The sequence below is a fragment of the Homo sapiens genome, chromosome 5, assembly GCF_000001405.40.
Source record: "Homo sapiens chromosome 5, GRCh38.p14 Primary Assembly".
Classification (NCBI taxonomy): domain Eukaryota; kingdom Metazoa; phylum Chordata; class Mammalia; order Primates; family Hominidae; genus Homo; species Homo sapiens.
The window spans coordinates 150,978,100-150,997,898 of record NC_000005.10 but is presented as its reverse complement, the minus strand read 5'-3'; the positions used below and the strand labels follow the sequence as shown (position 1 = coordinate 150,997,898).

The window sequence follows — 19,799 nt, the reverse complement described above, 5'->3', positions numbered from 1 at the left end:
TTTTACATACAGGGAAATCTCTCTCTCTCTTTTCCTTTCCCACTCGGGACCCTTGGTGAGCAGCGTGTAAACATGGAGGTAAACTGCAGGTTTCTGGCCATGGCTGGTGAATACTAAGGGGTTTTCATGTGAAGAAGCCTAACCGCCACCACCTGGTTTGCCTAAGGGACCTGGGTCTTTTTCTTTTTTTTTTTCCTTTTCTTCTTTATTGGTCTTTTAGCAGCTGTTTCCTAGTAGCTCTTTGGAAATTGAGGGAAATTGGCTGGGATCAATCCCCAATATTGCCTGAAGACCATGGAGTGAATGGGGATAATTGCCCTGCCCAGAAGGGAGAAGGACTCTTTTTTAAATCTTTTCTGGGTGTGGTCCCTGATCCCTATGTGTGGCACAGCTCAGAGCAAACTCGCCTGTTTCAGGCAACTTAAACCTTTTCTTATGCGTAATTCTTCCGTTTCCCTAGTCAACTGGCTAAGAGCAAAAGAAACACATCCAGCCTCCAGTTATTAAGTTCATGGAATGGGAAACATGGGAAAGTGTGGCCTTATCAAATTATAAGGATGCTAAAAGTCAAGGCCTTCATCCAGGGACAAAATGAAAGCTCATAGTAGGCCATTCCCTTTAGAGGGAAAACATGCAAGCAGGACTGGTGCCCACCTAAGGTCAGAGACGTCTGACACTCTTAAGATTGGGCCCCACTAGGGGAAGCCCCAGAGGGGAATCCTCCGGACCTCAACCTCTCCAAAGAGGATGCCCTTGGCAGAGGTTCTGAGGTCTAGTATTAAACTCTCCTTAGAATTTTATCTCGCAGTTGCAATGCTATTTGGCCCCAATATTGTTTGGAATGCGGAGTTTACTGTTGAATGGAAAACTGGGATGGCATTGCCATTGCATATATCCAGGCTTTGGTGCTGCTATTCTAAGCAGAGGGCCTGGTGAAAGAGTGATGTTCTCCTTTGGTACTGTTTGGTCTTAGTGTTCTTTGGAGTCTGGGGAGGTTTCACCTTTAAAAATCAAACTGCTAGGGCCAGGTGCAGTGGCTCATGCCTGTAATCCCAGCACTTTGGGAGGCCGAGGCAGGTGGATCACTAGGTCAGGAAATCAAGACCATCCTGGCCAACGTGGTGAAACCCCATCTCTACTAAACTCCATCTCTACTAAAAATACAAAAAATTAGCCAGGCGTGGTGGTGCGTGCCTATAGTCCCAGCTACTCAGGAGGCTGAGTCAGGAGAATCACTTAGACCCGGGAGGCGGAGACTGCAGTGGGAGCTGAGATCACGCCACTGCACTCCAGCCTGGGCAACAGAGTGAGACTCTGTCTCAAAAACAAAAACAAAAAAAATCAAACTGCCATCTGGGCACGGTGGCTCACGCCTGTAATCCCTGCACTTTGGGAGGCCGAGGCGGGCAGATCACGAGGTCAGGAGTTCAAGACATGAACAAGGCCAACAAGGTGAAACCCCATCTCTACTAAAAATACAAAAATTAGCTGGACATGGTGGCACGTGCCTGTAATCCCAGCTACTTAGGAGGCTGAGGCAGGAGAATTGCTTGAACCAGGACCTGGGAAGCAGAGGTTTCAGTGAGCCGAGATTGCACCACTGCACTCTAGCCTGGGCTACAGAGCAAGACTCCATCTCAAAGAAAAAAAAAAAAAAGAAAAAGAAACAAAAAAAATCAAACTGCCATGGAAATTGCTTTACCCAAAATTTTGGTTCACAGCCTTCATTGCATTACCTACTGGGGCAAACAAAGTAAAACCGGTAAGCTTGTGTTGCTATCTCATGGCTAGGGTTTCAAGCTATTAGATCTTCATTTGTGTGTGTGTATACATGTCTAGATGTGTTTATTTGTATGTACACTTATATGTTATGTTTGCCAAATTGGCTTATAAGTAAAAGAGCGCTCATAAATTAATAAGCCTAAGCGATTTTTAAGTTAAAGTGACTTAAGTATAACTTTACTAAACAAGCTGGCTTTAAAATTATTGGTAGAATAAAAATAGAAATGCCTTCAGAATTGTCAGCATACATTTTGTCTGGATTTTATGTTTGTGTTTGCTAAATATTTTGAGATGTCAATGTTTGGCATAGAATGTTATAAAACTACAAACCCAGCCAAAACAAAATGTGCCTTTTTTTTTTGACAAATAAGAGCAATTTAATGTTAGCTACGTCTTCTGAGTTATTGGCAAAATACTTATATATTTAATTCTGAGACTCTCAGGTTTAGGTGAGCACTTGATATTCACTGGCTATTAGAAACATGGTTAGCAAGGAAATAACTAACTTTAAGTGATAGTGTCTAATATCTCAGTTTACAGAAGTAATCTAGATAAACTGTTAAAAATGAAAGAATTGAGTACAGTAAATGGGATAAATGTTTTAGGTAAACTTTTTGTGTAAATTAAAAGCTTAAAATTAATTTTGATGCTCATTGAATATTTGGGTCATTTCCAATTAAGGAAGGGTTGTGATATGGGGAAATATGTTTCTAAAAATTGTGGAATTGTTCTTATCTATAAATGCCCATATCTGATAGTTCAGTATTTCTTTTTAGGGTTTCACTAAAATTTTAGGTTACTAAGGATAATACTTCTAGTTAACACAGAGTTCTGTATACAAAATGTGCCAAAAAGTTTGTGTTATTACTGAGAAAAAGAATAATTTTGTCTAATTAAGAAGTTATCTAAAAGTTAGTTCAAATTACACATTTGAAAAAATTATTTGTGAAACAATGTAGTAAAGAACCAGTGATTAGGGGAGAAGGATGTGGAAAAAGTTTAGATAATAAAATATTCTTTAAAACATGATAAAGAATTGGAGACATTGGGCTAGTTAACATTTTCGTAGTTAAAGCTCTTAGTCTTGATTAAAGTAAAATAATAACTATTGTAAAGAAATGCATTGGCAGTTTGGCAATTCTTTTTTTTATATAGTTAAGCTTGAAGCTGGATTTAGTGTGGAGCCAAATTTCCCAGATATGCTTGCACTGCTTCACACTATGTTTACTGTTTTGCATGGATAGTGCTGGCACTGGAGTGCTTATTGGTCATGGGCCTAAAGTGAACTTCTTGATTGCACAGGATGTATGATGATATTGGTGAACTTAAGGATATTGAATTGTGTATCAGGAATAAAATATTTATTATGTGGCTCTTTTGGGGCCCTGGGCAACACTTTAGCCTCCAGGGTAAATTGAGTAAGAAAAAATTAGGGTTGCTTTCCTGTTTATTTATTTTTGCTTCTAGAAGGCTTTTATTTGGTTTTGTGGATAGTTATTTTGTTTCCTGTGCATTTCTAGCAAGTCATCATTTGTTCCATTTATCTGGAATTCCTAGGCTACCTTTGTCAGACCCACAGGAGTTAATGGAACACATCAGCTTTTTAACCTTAAACTAACTTTTTGGAGTTTAGGCTTATTGATATTTTAAGTATGTTGAGTATACTTTTGTAAACAGAATTTAAGTCATATTTCTCTCTCTGCCTAATTTCTCCAAAATTTGTAAACTATTTGTAAATGTTCTTAATTCATGGTAGTGTGTTTGTTTGCATACAGTTGAGCAGGGTCACTAGGGCTGCTCAGGGAGAGAAAACCCAGAAACCTGGCCTACTGGCAAAAGGATAAGAATTTCCTACCAGTCAGACTCTGACCTCTTTCTCTCTGTGCAAACTGGCTAAATGAGACGTGAAAGTCACTGTTTATCTCCTCTGTAAAGTTTTCACAAATGTCTTCAAAATACAAACATGTCATCTAAATTATGTTCAAATATTAGGTTTGCTAAGTGCCTTAAGGTCATAAACTGCTTCTTTGGCTTTTGAAAATTGTTTGACTTGCCTGCTTTACAGCTAGGTAAGGCCTGGGGACATGTGGAGTTGGCCACACCCCTAGCTATGCTGGAATAGTAAGACCTTATCAGCACCTAGTACATAATTAACATAACTTACCAGCTTTTACATTAAAAGTAAGATTGCTAAGAGTCATCATTATAACATGTAATTGATACTACTAAAAATATTTTTACATGCAAGGTGTGTTTGGAAAAATGTCTGTGTGTGTGTGTTTTACTAAAAGGTTATAAGAAGCCATGGAAATATAAATTGTTGCCTAGAGTTAAAAGATTGTTTTGAATTTAATAGGATAAAGCTGAAGGTTCAAACAAGTGGTGGAAGGAGTATGGAAATTAATCTTGTGGAAGTGGTTCTCTGTGTGAGAAACATCGGCCTGACCACCTGACTTTCTGATCACATTCCACTGGGAAAAAGTCCAAGGAACATCCCTATCACATTCTGCTGGAACAAGGACCAAGTCACCTCATCATGGGAACATCTTATCAATAGCCTGTTGGGCAGCAAGCCATACTGCCCAGACCCCTCCCTCCCATACCTGTAAGTACCCCAGCCTGTAAGTGGCAGTGGGTTCAGGCATTAACCTGGTCCCCCACCTCCGCAGGTCTTGGGCTAGACATAAAACCTGCATTTACTGCAAAGCATCCAACTCTCTTTCTTTAACCCTCACCTTCCCTTCAAAACCTAACAACTTCCATTGTACCCTCTCAAACTCCTGATTATGAAAAAAACTCCACTACATTTTGGCGCAGAAACCCAGGACATAGATTGGGTTCTAAACGGGTAAGTCTTCTCTTGCAACCTGGAAAGCAGCAAGCAGCAAAAATTAGACTGAGGCCTGCTTCCAGATCCTGAGTAGACTCCCTCTTTGCAGCCCTTTTTCTCTTATTCTCTCTCCTTTGGCCCTGGGCTGACCTCTAGATCCTGATCAAACTCTCTAGCCTCTTTTTTCTTTCTCCCCCTTTCTGGGTGGCTCCGGCAAGGATCACCCCCATTGCAGAACATCACGTCCAACGCCGTCTCCAATTAATGGGTGAGTCTCCCTTTACCTCCTCTCCAGATTCCTATCATGCTTCTGCTCCTTCACCAGAAAATCCCAGTGCTGGGTGAGAGGTCTCCCTGGTCACCAGGTGACCATGGTCTGCCTTCTCAGGGGACGCCCTCAGAATGCTCGCCACTCCAGTCACTCTGATCTCCAGAGGACTGTGAAGAGCTGCAGGGATGCCCTGGCTTTCTTATGTCCCTCCTCCCAAGAGGAATCATGGTACTTACTCCCCTCCAGGGTACTCACACCCCTCCTCTATATTTCTCACCCTTCCAGCCACCAGTATGGGGCAAGGCTCCTCAAAACTTCCTCCAGACACCACTCTCAGATGTCTAATCTGGAACCTCCAAACCCAAAAATGCCCCTTCCTTCAGACAAGCCTTCCTCCTCTAATTTCAACCCGGACAACAAAACCCCTCCTTCAGTCCTTCTCCCACCACCATCCCCTCCTCCTCCTTCAGCTCCGGCTCCTTCAATCCCTTATTGTTGCCCTCTGTTCCCCCTTTCTTCTCCACCGCATACCCAGTCTCACACTTAACCCCCTTCCTCTGAAAACCAGGCATACACCCAAAGGCCTTCCAAAGTCATCCCCTTGCGGGAAGTCACGCGGGCCGAAGGTATAATCTGAGTTTATGTTTCCTTCTCCCTAGCTGACCTCTTCCAGCTTGAAAAAAGACTTGGCTTCTTTTCCATGGATCCCACCTCCTTCCACAAGGAATTTCTGTATGTCACTCAATCTTATAAATTACCTGGCATGACACTTACGTCATCCTCTCTTCCTCCCTCACCCTGGAGGACAGGGAGCACATCTCAGACTGTGCTCAGCAAAACGCTTTATCCCACTTCACCACCTCTACCTGAAGACTGATAGGGCCCAGAATCCACCACTCCCACCACCATCACCACCTTGGAACCAAGAGTAATGCTGTCAGTGTCTGCTAAGCCCATGTCTTTCCCATTAAATATGAGGCTAGTTATTCAATTTTACCAGAATATTCTGAGCCCCTCCTCAGTTCTTCTATCTCTATTGTGGGAGTCGATAGAATCCCCTCTAGGCACAAACAGACTGGTCCTCTATTATGCAACCTATTCATCACCCCCTTCACCCACTCTTTCCTGTTTATCCCTCAGTGCCCTACCCCTATCTTGGGGTGGGACATACCAAGTAAATTTTAGGGTCTTACCCACAAAGGCTCAGGTTAGCCCAAATGCAGGTCACTTACCTTGGGCTTGTCCTAACCCCTAATTCTCAGGCCATTCCAACCCAATGAAAGGAGCTAATTTGGGACATGCCTCTTCCCCACACGAAAAATAACCTCCTCTCCTTCTCAGGCTGCATGGGATGCTTCCATCTGTGGATTCCCAACTTTGGCTTGCTGGCCAAGCTGTTCTATATGGCCTCACATGGGCTCATCCTAAAACCCCTCAACCCAGCTTGCCCCATCAACTCCCACTTTAAAAAGCTGAAAAATGCCCTTTTTAATGGCCCCAGTACTGGGACTGCCCAACTCCACCAAGCCTTCTACTCTGTATTGTAGGGAAAAGAAAGAGAGATCAGACTGTTACTGTGTCTGTGTAGAAAGGGAAGACATAAGAAACTCCATTTTGACCTGTACCCTGAACAATTGCTTTGCCCTGAAATGCTGTTTATCTGTAACTTTGCCCCAACCTTGAGCTCACAAAAACATGTGTTGTATGGAATCAAGGTTTAAGGGATCTAGGGCTGTGCAAGATGTGCCTTGTTAACAAAATGTTTACAGGCAGGTTGCTTGGTAAAAGTCATTGCCATTCTCCAGTCTTGATAAACCAGGGGCACAATGCACTGCGGAAAGCCGCAGGGACCTCTGCCCTGGAAAGCCAGGTATTGTTCAAGGTTTCTCCCCACTGAGACATCCTGAGATATGGCCTCGTGGGATGGGAAAGACCTGACCGCCCCCCAGGCTGACACCCGTGAAGGGTCTGTGCTGAGGAGGATTAGTAAAAGAGGAAGCCTTCTTGCAGTTGAGATAGAGGAAGGCCACTGTCTCCTGCCTGCCCCTGGGAACTGAATGTCTCGGTATAAAACCCGATTGTACATTTGTTCAATTCTGAGATAGGAGAAAAGCTGCCCTGTGGCGGGAGGCGAGACATGTTGGCAGCAATGCTGCTGTTACTCTTTGCTCCACTGAGATGTTTGGGTGGAGAAAAGCATAAATCTGGCCTACGTGCACATCCAGGCATAGTACCTTCCCTTGAACTTATTTGCGACACAGATTCCTTTGCTCACATGTTTTCTTGCTGACCTTCTCCCCACTATCACCTTCTTCTCCTGCCGCATTCCTCTTGCTGAGATAGTGAAAATAGTAATTAATAAATACTGAGGGAATTCAGAGACCGGGCCGGTGCAGGTCCTCTGTATGCTGAGCCCCAGTCCCCTGGGCCCACTTTTCTTTCTCTATATTTTGTCTCTGTGTCTTATTTCTTTTCTCAGTCTCTCGTCCTGCCTGATGAGAAATACCCACAGGTGTGGAGGGGCTGGCCCCATTCACTGTGTGTACATTCTGACCAAGGCCTTGCTCTTGGACTACTCTGCCAAACATATGGCAATGCTCCACAAGCCATTGCATACCTCTTAAAACAAATGGACTATCATCCAAGGCTGGCCATCCTGCCCAAAAATCTTGGGTGCAGCCACATTACTTGCCTCAGAGGCACAGAAACTTACTCTCTACCAACACATTACTACTGCATCTTCCCATAACCTACAGGATCTCATGAGCCATTGATCTCTTCTATCCCTCCCACCATCCTGCTTACAGGATGCCTTATTCATAGATACATGCCTTATTCATAGGTAACCCTCTAATCACCTTCTAGAAATGTAAAGCTCTCAACCTAGCCACCCTCTTCCCTGTAAACACCTCTGACTCTAAGCTCTCTCACTCCTGCCTGGACCTCTTAAACTCCCTCTTCTCCCCCTTCCAACACATTTCAAAAGCCCCTTTGCAGGGAACACCCACATGATTCATTAATGGAAGATCTTTTTAGCTGTTTTAGGGAGCCATGTCCAGCAGCTGGCTATGCCATCATTGCTGAAAATAAACTCCTAGAATCCAGCACTGTCCCGCTCCATACTACCTCTCAACAGGTGGCGCTAGTTGTCTTAACCAGGGCCTTCACCCTAGTAAAGGCAAGAGGGTTAACATTTACACCGATTCCAAATATGCATACCACATCCTACATTCTCATGCCTTAATCTGGCAGGAAAGAGGTTTCCTAACTACAAAAGGAACCCCCATAGTAAATGGCAAACTCATACACAAACTGCTGGAGGCAGCTAAACTACCACTAAAGGCCACCTTTATCCATTGTAAGGGACATCAAAAGGCTACAGATGCCATAACCAAGGAAAACTTCTCAGCAAACTCTGCAGCCCAGCAGGCAGCCCTTAAAACCTCATCATTATTGCCCATCTTTCCCAGCATACACCCTGTATATACCCAGGAGGAACAAACCTCACTCACCCGGGCTGGTGCTATTTGGGGAGGAGGATGGTTCTACCCCAATAATAAAATTGTCTTGCCCAAGTCCCAGGAACTTTCTGTACTTTCATATGTGCACAACCATTTCCATGCCGGTTACTGCCCCCTACTCTAGCTCTTAAAAGCTTATATATATTTTCCCGCCATGGCTGCCAATCTCATAGGTATTACTAAGGCATATTCCATTTGCACTCAAACAACTTCCTCTCAGGGAGCTATCAAACCACCTCCTTTCCCCACACACCAGGCCCAAGGACACCTGCCAGGGCAGGGCGGGCAGATCAACTTTACCCTCATGGTCCCCATAAAATGGGCCTGGTACCTTCTGACAATTGTAGATACATTCTCTGGATGGATAAAAGATTTTCCTACCACCACCGAAAAGGCACACACCATCACTTCTATTCTCCTCACCCATATGATCCCCTGGTTTGGACTCCCCTCCTCCATCCGGTTAGACAGTGGGCCAACATTTGTTTCACAGGTTAACCAACAGTTGGTGGAGGCTGTAAACATTAAATGGGCCTTTCATGTTCCTTACTGCCCCCAATCTTCAGATAAAAGTAAATAGGTCAATGCCTTTTTAAAACAACAAATAACCAAACTTCCTAGAGGTTAAAATGGCCTGAACTTCACTTCTTCCAATGGCACTCATGAATTTACAAGCCATTGCTCACACGCCCCTCAGCCTAAGCCCATTTGAATTCATGTACCAATGCCCTTTTATCCTCCAAAATCTCCCTGTATCTGCCCCCAGCCCGCCCCTCCACCTCCTTGATACAGGATACTTGGCTGGCATTATACCTCACTCAACATCTAATAAGACGGTACGCAAATGCTTACTTGCCCCAGCCTAAAAGTCCATCCTCCAAACACTCCTCCCTGCCCCTACAACCAGGGAACTGGGTCTAAATCACCAATTCCTTCTCCCCTCTCCAACCTAAGTGGACGGGTCCTCACCAGGTAATCCTGACTACTCCTGTGGCAACAAAACTAACATCCTTTCCACACTAAATCCACCATTCCAAACTAAAAACAGCACCAGACTTACATCCACAAGTTTTCTCACCCCCAAAATATTCTTCCTCCTTCATAGGACCAACCTCACTATGCTTAACAAGAATTCCAGAAGTTGCCAGTCCAGAAGGCCCTGGTCCATTACACTCTCTGCCTCCAAGTTCAAATCTGTTATCTCACACCTTGTTTCAGATCTTTCCTGATATTCCCTCCCCACATCCCTGGATAGTCCACTCCAATTCCTCACATTAACCCAGGAGCTATGGCTGCAGGGTACCTTCCAAAATTTCCCTCGTACTCAAATCTTCTTTTTCCCCTTTTGTCTTTGCTGTGGGATACTCTAAATCCCATAACCTCTGGCAGTTGGGCTTCCTTTGTCAACCTCACACATTACCTCTTAAATCAGTCACACTCTCCTCTTTCTTCCAATTGTTAAATTTGTTTGTCCACACAAATCCAGCAGTTCACAGCCCTTCCTGTTAACCTAACCACAGAAACTTGATCCAAAGTAAACCTGCATCTCACCTACTCAACCAGTCCCTTCCCAAAACCTGTTTATAATCTTGCTTGGCTAAACACCTTTCCCTGCAATCCATCAAACCTACCTGCACCATCGCACGCAGGGCTGGCACCCTCTTTCGTCTCATGGCCTGTAAACTAAACATGTTACAAACTGAATTCCATAAAACATCCCTTCCCAACCCCTCCCTTCTCTGCCAGCACTGTTCTCCATGCATCCAACTTAAGGGAACTCCCTAAAAAAATGCACAGACAATTCCCTCAACTGCAACCTTTATTCTTCTTCCCTGTCAGGACCGCAATGGCTGTTAACAAAAACCCATTTCTCTCTCTCTGTCTAAAACCAGACAGCCTTCACCACCAATATCCCTATCAGGCCCTAACAGGGACTATCCTTGTTAACAGTTATTCAACCTGGAAAAACAAAAAAGTTGGGACAAAAGTTTGTTCAGGATTTAACCCCCGGCTTCTCATGGCTCACTGCCTTCACTTACAACTTTGCCTGTCAACCCCCAGTCTTTTCTTTCTGTGTGGAACAAACTCTCTTCTTTGCCTACTGGCAAGTTGGTCAGGAACATGTACCCTGGTGTTTCAATCTCCAAACATTAACATTTTGCCTAACAATCAAACCATTCAGGTTCTTTAGTAATCCCTATTTCCTCCTCCTCCACACACACCAAGTGGGCTATACACTTCATTCCCCTGTTAGCAGGACTAAGCATCTCAGCTACACTTGGCACAGGGATATCTGGTTACCCCTTTCTTAGGGCCCCTAATCTTCCTCCTAATACTCACAATTGGCCCATGTATACTTACCTTCATATCCCACTTTATCTCCCAAAGGCAGAACTACCTTGTCTAGGCAGCCACCCAGAAACACATTGATACCATCTTTCCCCACCAAGTCTGGTATCAACATCTCCAGGAAAACAACTCTGAAGTTGGACACCCACTGCTTCAAAACCCAAGCCCTGATTACAGTGCCCCTATTCAGCAGGAAGCAGCTAGATAATCAACAATGCCCCTCTTCCTTTTAGACTGAAGTAGAAGGCAAGAATGTTAATCCAAACTGTACCACTTTGTAAGCCCCCCATCATTTCGCAGACATTGGTCAAAGTGAAACATTCCATGGGGATTCAGGCCATGAGAAACATTTTGCTCAACCACCTGAATTTCTTACCATATTCTGCTGGGAAAAAGCCCAAGGAACATCACTATCACATTTTGCCAGGACAAAGACCAAACCATCTCATCATGGGAACATCTTATCAACATCCTGCCAGGCAGCAAGCCATACTGCCCAGACCCCTCCCACCCACACCTATAAGTACCCCAGCCTGTAAGCGGCAGTGGGCTTTGGCATTAAGCTGGTCCCCAACCTCCGCAGGTCTTGTGCTAGACATAAAACTTGTGTTTGCTGTAGAGCTGCTAACTCTCTCTCCCTGTCTTTCTTTAACCCTCGCCTTCCCGTCAAAACCTAACAACTTCCATTATACCCTCTCAAACTCCTGATTATGAAAAAAAAAAAACAAAAAAACTCCACTACATATTTTTACCTCTTCTTTGAAAAATTTTTCCATGTCATTGCCTTAACCAAAATCTGGCCCAGCACTTCTCTGAATCTAGAATTTCCTCAGAAATCCATATTACTCAAAGGATCACAAAATTAGTTTTATGCCTTGCAAGGGATTCCTAAATTCATCTAAAGCAGATGAAATAAATTCTGCTTCAGCATTTCTCTTTCTTATCCAGAATGAGAAATGCTTAAAATGTTCAGAAGCTAAAATGAGTTATTTAGTTTCAGCAGAGTTAGTGTTTACTTATGAACTTAAGTTACTTAGTTGCCCAGGCAAGCTGTCACTAGCCTGGGATTATAAGAACTTGATTTCAAAAATACCAGCATTCACACTTCTGTGTTAAAATTCATATTTTATATTTTAACTCCAAAGGCAGTTAAAATGAAAGTCTTAATAATGAAGACATTTCAAGAGAAGGGATAAATTAAGGAAGCAGCTTTCTTGACCTACCATTCCCCATGCCATTCACCTTTGTGTTAGTGCAAACGGCACCATTTTGTAAGTCCCCTGCTATTTTGCAGACCTTGGTCAAAGTGAAACATTCCACGGGGGTTTGGGCCATGAGAAACATCCTACCTGGCCACCTGACCACAAGGAAGACAAAGGCCCAATAAAAAAAACATTCTTATTATACCCTACCAGGCAAAGGCCCAACTAAAGAAACCTCCCTATCCTGTCTTACTGGGCAAAGGCCCAAGGAACACCATGATGACATCCCACCAGAAAAAGGGTCAAACCACCCTATCATGGGTACATCTTATTGATATCCTGCCGGGCAGCAAGCCACACTATCCAGACTTCTCCCAGCCATACCTGTAAGTACTGCTGCTTGTAAGTGGTGGTGGGTTTTGGCATTAAGCGGGTCTCCCGCTTCCACAGGTGTCTGCAATATACCTGTGTTTGCTGTTGAGTTGCTCTGTTTCTCTCTCTGTCTTCCTTTAACCCTTGCCTTCCCTCCAAAACCTAACACTGATTCTCTACTTTCAGCATCTCTAAACCTTGATCCAGTAAATGCTTCTGAATCCCATGATCAAATAATTTTCCTTTTGTCCCATGGATTCTGGTATGTTAGGGTTTCAGATTCCTTGTATGTTTTCATTAAGTAACTGAAGAAGATATTCCCATTCTCTTTGAGAATAGTGTATACATGGTTACACTACATGGTTAAAAACTTCTAATTAGTAAATGAGAATTTTCTATTAAGGTATTTAATTATGTGAGCTCTCTAGTGTTACCCAAATCCAAAATTCTGTGATTTTGTGTTTCCATGGTGCTGTAATTTTAAGAGTTGAATCCACTGGTGGCTTAGTTGCTAAGGCAGTTACAGACAGCCTCGCCTTTTTCTTAGGGGTCTCCTGTGTCTGGGATTTCATATGTGGCTGGCTGGTATTCCCAAGGTAAGTGACACCTCCTTTGTAAGAAAAGTATACACAGCCTACTTATGGGTCTATGTGACCTATCTTGTAAAGAGAAGATGACCACAAACACATCCTTGTGTTCCATAATGCTAGTAAGTTCCAGGGAGAAGAAAGAACATGAAAAAGTGCCCTGGGTAAATTTTAAAAAATAAAGTGAGATAGTCCATTGGCTCCTAGACTCAGTTGCCTTTGTGGAGAAAGCAGTTAAGTATGGATGGAGTGGTTTGTATGGGCTTACAAGGGATCCATGTTAGAACACAAGATGGTGACTCTTTCTGGGAGCAAAGGCTGTGTGGTGGTATAACTCCTCAGAAGAGGAGAGCACGCAGCAGAATTCTGCCTTCCTGAAGACAACTTCATCATTCGCCAGCACCAGAAGGAAAATTGGCCATCTGGGAGAGAGATGGCAGTCTGGGTTTTTCATCAGAGTTTGCCTGATCCAAGGGATTTTACTGTTCTATGAGGTGAACAGAGGGTAAGACCCTGGGTTTCAAATTGTTTCTAAAGTCTCCCTAAACCCAGACTTAGGCACCCACTCTGCCACATGCTTCCTGTACCCTTCACAGGGGCATTCTACCTGCTAAACTAACAGAAGCACCATAGAAAATCCTTCTCCCTCATGTGTCTCATCCAGGCACACCATCCCACCTTTTGAACTTCCCTCCTCCTTCAGAATGTTACTCAGACGCCATTGTCATTCTTTACACCATCACCTTCTCCATGTGTATCATGCTTAAGTCTTCATACACTTAAGTCTTTTTGACTGCCAATTATTTTTCCACCATACCCTGTGTATAAGGATGTGTCATGATGCTTCTCAAGTAATTTCAGTGGAAGAACAAAGGAAGAGGACCAGTCACCTCCAACCTTGTCTCCTTGGCTCTAGGTCCTTTCCCACTCAACAGGGATTTCTCAGGAACTTCTAGGGGTTGATTCCATTTGTGGAGAATACCATTTGTTGATTCTCCTACATGTAAATGGATAGTCAAGATTTCATATACAGTTGATTTTATTATTCACAGTACTTATGTTAAATAAATCCACCACAAACACTGTATTAGTAAATACTGAATAATTGCTCCAAGAGGAATACAGGATTAGGTTCATGTAAGCCTCTGGTCACAACATTTTCATCAACTAGAATGCTGGCACTTTTATTGCTAGTCTCTAGCAATTCATCAATTGTAGTTTAAGTGTTCCTAAAATATATTGACTTTAGTGGTGGACTTCCGCTGTCAGTGAACCTGTGATTCTCAGCATCTACCTGTCTCTCTAGTTTCTGGGGCAGTGGTTTGTCCTGTGACCTTGATTCTTTGAAGGATCTAAGAATTGTTAATTTCCAGTTTTTCAGACTTTTTTCTGGTTGTGATGATAGGATTGACAACTTCCAAGCTCTTTACATGTCAGACTAGAAACCAGAAGTCTGCTCAGGTTTTCTTCATTATTTTTTCTTTCTGTTCTAAGACTGTATAATATCGAATGATCGAGCCCCAAGCTTACTGATTCTTCTGCCAGCTCAAATCTACTTTTGAGTACCTAAAGTGAATCTTCATTTCAGGTATTCTACTGTTCAACTCCAGAATTTTTATTTGAGTCTTTAAACACTTTTTATTCTACTAACATTCTCCATTTGATGAGTCATTGTCACCATACATTCCTTTCATTCTTTGAACATGGTTTTCTTTAGTTTTTTGAACATATTTGTAATAGCTTCTTTGGCATCTTTGCCTTACAGGTCCAACATCTAGACCTCCTCAAAAGCAGTTTTTATTGATGCTGTTTTTCCTTTACAAGGGTTATACTATTTTGTTCTTTTGCATCTCTAATAGTTTTTGAAATAATATATTGTAGCAACTCTGGATTCTGACACATCCCCTTTAGGGATTATTGATGTGGCTCTGTTTTGTTAGTTTGTTTAGTGGCTTGCTTGCACCAACTTTGTAAACTCTATTTCCCCCCGCCGCCCCCCACCCCACAGTGTGTAGCTTTTACCCCAAGCCTGGCTTCCTAGAAGTCACCGTTGGGTCAAAATATCTTAACATTTAGCCAGTGTTTGGTCAGGGGTTGTGCTTACACTCCTTGAGCTAGTAAGACTTCCACTCTTTGCTAATGTATCAGCGTGTGGCTTGGGAAATTCTTTCAATTCCACTCAAGTTCAGCTAGTACCTGTTATGGTTGGTCCTGAATGTGTGAAACATAGACATATGCACAGACTTCCAGTTTTAGCTCTTTCTCTTGTTCACTCTGTTAAACCGGGTGACTTGCTGTTTCATTTGTTGCTACTTGTTTTATGAAACTATTAGAATTCTCTTAAGTGCTTGCCACTAAGATCTCTATTTTCAACAATGCCTTAATTCATGCAACCCTTCATGTTATGATTAAATACAGTCAGCCCCCCAGCTGAGCTGAGGAGCTTCTGGCCCTCCCATCTTGCTTCTTTCCCTGGATATAACATCTACACTCTTGCACAGAAGCGGGGGACAAAGGGGAACGCCGGATTTTCCTGAAGTGACACCTCTGCCCTACCAGTGGAATCCGGGGAAGCTTCTTAGCAGGGATACTCCTTCCTGCAAGTGAGATCTTGGTAGGAAGATGAAGGCCTGAGATCTTTTTAATGTACTCCTGCCAGTCTGGAGCCTCTATCCTATTAGTGGGAGCTGGGAGAATGATCTTTTTTTTGGCTTGCCTTTCCTGGCATGAAACATCTACTCTATAGAGAAAAGCTGAGGAGGAGGGCAATTGAGGTCCCAATACTCTTAGCCTCTCTTACCTTGGCAAGAGCCTCTGCTCTACAAGTGGGAGCTAGGTTGGGTATGGGAGCCCCAGTCTTCTTGGCTGTAGCTGCCTAAAATTGAGCTTCTCCATCATGGAGCTAGGGTAGGTGAATAACAGACTACTGTAAGGTTATCAAGCTTGAACGAGAAGGTTTCAGTTTCTTAATATAATCTTTCTTCTGAGTCACTTTATTTCACTAGCAAATGTTTATTAGGTCTTTGATACACTCAAAACCATTTAAATTATTCTCCTAACATTTGAAGTCTAGAAATCAAATTTTTTAAACTCCATGAGGTCTCAAATTTCAGGACTCTATTTTCTTTCATTTTTGCTTATAATCCACTAATTTTCTCTGAGTTTATCTTTTTCTTACAATAGCTTCCAAATACAGCCAGTAAAACAGCAAATATTACTAATACTCTGTTTTCTAATTATCTTCTGGAGCTGTCAACAAAGTAAGCATGTGTAGAGGAGACAATCAAACCAAATGTTTTGTTTTGTTTTGTTTTGTTTTGTTTGAGACAGGGTCTTGCTCTGTCACCCAGGCTGGAGTACAGCGACAAAATCACAGCTCACTGTAGCCTCAACCTCCTGGGCTCAAGAAATCCTCCTGCCTCAGGCTCTTGAGTAACTGGGACTATAGGTATACACGACCACATCTGGCTAATTTTTGTATTTTTTATAGAGACAGGGTTTCATCACATTGTCTAGGCTGGTCTTGAACTCCTGGGCTCAAGCAATTTGCCTACCTTGACCTCCCAAAGTGCTGAAATTACAGGTGTGAGCCACCACGCCTGGCCCAAACCAAATGTTTGGCTAGTACAAAACATAGATAAACATCTTTCCACTTCTGACATCAGTTTTCTCACTGCTCAACTACTAGGCCTATGCCATATTTTAGGTTTTTATTACATTAGCAGGACACTTCCAGGACCAATTTCTTTCTACTAGAAAATGATTGCTATTTGCTATTAATAATCAATCCCTAAATCTCAGTGGCTTAATACAATTAAGATACACTTTTTTTTCACCCACAAAGTTAATAAGGTGTTTTGTGAATGGCTTTCCATGTAACTACCCTCCAAGCAATGGGTCTCATCAGTAGATGAGATAAAGATAAGGAGTTTGGGGTATCAGCAATGGTATTGCTTCTGAACAAGCAATTATAGAATAGATGTAGAGGGGCAATTCAGGGCAGTGGTTCCAGGCCCACACCTGAGTCTGAAAGACTGACATGGTTGTGAGAATGAAACAGAATGATACACATGACTCCCTACAGTTCTCTCTAATATAATCCTAATTAGAGTTGTTTCCTTGTCTGTCTTCATAACTAGAATGGGAATTATATCCTTAAATAATATAAAATAGCTAACATCTTATGAGCACCATACATACATGATATTGTATAATCCTTGCAATGATCCAACAAACTAGGTGCTATTGAGGCTCAGAGCAGATTCAGAATCTACATCTGTCTAAATCCAGAATAAGAGCTCTTAACACCTCTTGTAGGTTTCTGCCTTGTAATCTTAACTCCCTGTCAAAATTTGCTTTAGAAGAATGAGGCCCCACTTTTAATTTATAAATAAGGAACAAGTTGATTTTTAATGGCATGGATACTCACATGGAAATTTACAGAATACCTACCCCTACTGTTAGATGGAATTTTAAAAATGAACAATTCTCTCTGCAAAAAGTCTTTATAATATTTGTGAATTGTAAAATCCTTATGAAAATATCTCTCTTACTAATCTGTCACAAGGTGAATTAGAAAATGCCAAATAGAGATGCCGTGCAGTATAGCAAGCACTCTATCATATTATTGGCTTACGTAGTACTTATACTTTGTATACTCAAGCTTACAAAGTACTCCAGGGAAAAAGAGCAGTAGTGTTTGTATTTGTTTCCTAGGGCTGCCTTACAAAATATTAGAGTGAGTGGCTTAAATGACAGAAATTTATTTTCTCACAATTCTGGAGGCTGGAAGTCTGAGATCAATGTGCAAAAGGGTTGGTTTCCTTGGAGGCCTCTCTTCTTGGCTAGCAGATAGCAGCCCTCTTGCTGCCACTTCACATGGTCATTTCTCTGTGTACACCTGCCCCTGATGTCTCCTCGTGTGTCCTACTCTCTAGGTCTTGTAAGAACACCAGTCAGATTAGATTAGGACACATCCTAATGGTTTTATTTTAATTACTCTTTAGAGGCAGTATGTCCAAATACAGTCATATTCTGAGGTATTGGTGATTAGGGCTTCAACATATGAATTTGGTGGGAAGGTACAATTCAGTCCATAACAGTATGTAAAAAGGGTAATTGTACCCACCAAGAATTCCTTTTTAAATTGCAGTGAGTCTTGTAAGAGGCCATGACTATTTTCTTTTGCTACTGAGACTTATATGATATCTAGTTTATATTTATATATTTTATGTAATTAACACCTTTATGTACTTCTCATTAAGAAGCAGCAGAAGTCATACATACCAGAAAGCAACAGAAAAAAGTTTATTTTACACTTTAGAACTCTTACTGAACACTGTATTTTTGGTTATAACTTGTATTTTCTTTAGGGGAAAAATGGTAATATTTAATGTAGAAAGTCTTAGTAAATGGCATTCTATATATAGTAATTATTTTATATTTACAAATTTTTAGATTCACATATGCAATTCCAACACATATAACTTATTTTATATGATGCATAGCAAAATGTAGTGCAGCCAGGACTTACAGCAATAAGTAGTGGCACATATAGTAACATTCATATCTTGTGGGTTGTCCACATATCGTTTTCTAAGTTTGTTCTGACTAGTTCACTTATTAATATTTTAAAAGCCTTTGTGGTCCACAGTGAACATTTATTCTCTAATAAAAATGTATTTTCTGTAATATCCTCAAGAAATATTTAGGAATCACATCTGGAATATGTTTTCTATAGAAACATAACTGCGCGCTTTTATAAATATATTAAACAGGCTTATCCTCAGTAAGATTTCTTGATAAATAATAAGGTTTGCTTTTGACTGAAGGCTTTCTATCACTACAAGTTCTAGTTAAAGATATTCCCATATTTATTTCTTGTTCAGGGATGTTTTTCTTTATGAGTCCTCTTATGTCGACAGAGGGCTGATCTATGTCTGAAGGCTTTTTTTTACACATTGACTGCATTTACATGAGTTTTTTTCCCTGTGTGAATTCTGTAATGTATGAGGTCAGGCTTTTGAGAAAAAACTTTTTAACACTCATTACATGTATAAGGTTTCTCTCTAGTGTAAATTTTCTGATGTCTAATAAGGCATGACACTTCACTGAAAGCTCTCTCACACTTAGTTCACACAGAAGATTTCTCTCCTGTGTGTATTCTCTGATGTACAAAGAGGTGTGACTTCAGGCTGAAGGCTCTCCCATATTCATCACACACATAGGGTTTTCCTCTAGTATGAGTTCTCCTGTAAATGCTGAGGTGTAAGTTTTGGAAAAAGGCTTTCCCACACTCGCCACACTCATAGGGTTTCTCCCTGGTGTGAATTCTCTAACGTTCAACAGATGTGACTTGTGGGAGAAAGCTTTTCTACATTCAACACACTCGTAGGTTTTCTCTTGAGTATGGATTCTCAGGTGTATAATGAGATTTGATTCCCTGCTGAAGGTTCTCCCACACTTAGTACATATTAAGGGCTTTTCTCTCTTATGGTTCTCTTTTGCATAATGAGGTCTGACTTCTGGAAGGAGGCTTTTTCACATTCACTATGCTCTTTTTTTTTGTGGCATATCTTCTATTGCCACTAAATAAATCCAAATAGTTCAAATTCCTACCATAACAGCCACATTTTTGGAATTTTTGAAATAAAGTCTGGGCTCAGATGAAATATATTTTCAAGAGCATTACAGTTGTCACCCCTTTCCTCTGTCTCAGTTCCCTGGTCTATTAATGAAACATGCCTCAAAAGTGTTTATTGGTTCTCCTGGTGCCTCTGCATGTGGTTGGAAGTCTTGCCAGACTTCTAGAAAGAAGCACAATTAACTATATACTGGTAAATATATCTGCTAATGTATTATGACTCATAACTTTTTGTCATATTA

The 19,799-nt window shown here is 41.8% G+C and overlaps 1 long non-coding RNA gene and 1 pseudogene across 1 annotated transcript, besides 1 other annotated feature; one reads left to right on the top strand and one right to left on the bottom strand.

Annotated features, from left to right (window-relative positions):
• Window positions 1,059-1,225: a silencer, noted in NCBI's record as "fragment chr5:150376236-150376402 (GRCh37/hg19 assembly coordinates)". NCBI's record gives its function as "represses an EF-1alpha promoter that drives an FKBP-Casp9 reporter gene in an ReSE screen in phorbol 12-myristate 13-acetate-treated (for megakaryocytic differentiation) K562 erythroleukemia cells {active_cell/tissue: K562(+PMA)}" and the evidence as "EXISTENCE:reporter gene assay evidence [ECO:0000049][PMID:32094911]".
• Window positions 1,710-12,335, top strand: LOC105378228 (uncharacterized). Its single transcript, XR_007059002.1, has 3 exons — window positions 1,710-1,762; window positions 4,139-4,387; window positions 12,169-12,335. It is a non-coding gene; the product is annotated as an uncharacterized LOC105378228 (long non-coding RNA).
• Window positions 18,724-19,480, bottom strand: LOC100419553 (zinc finger protein 35 pseudogene; annotated as a pseudogene).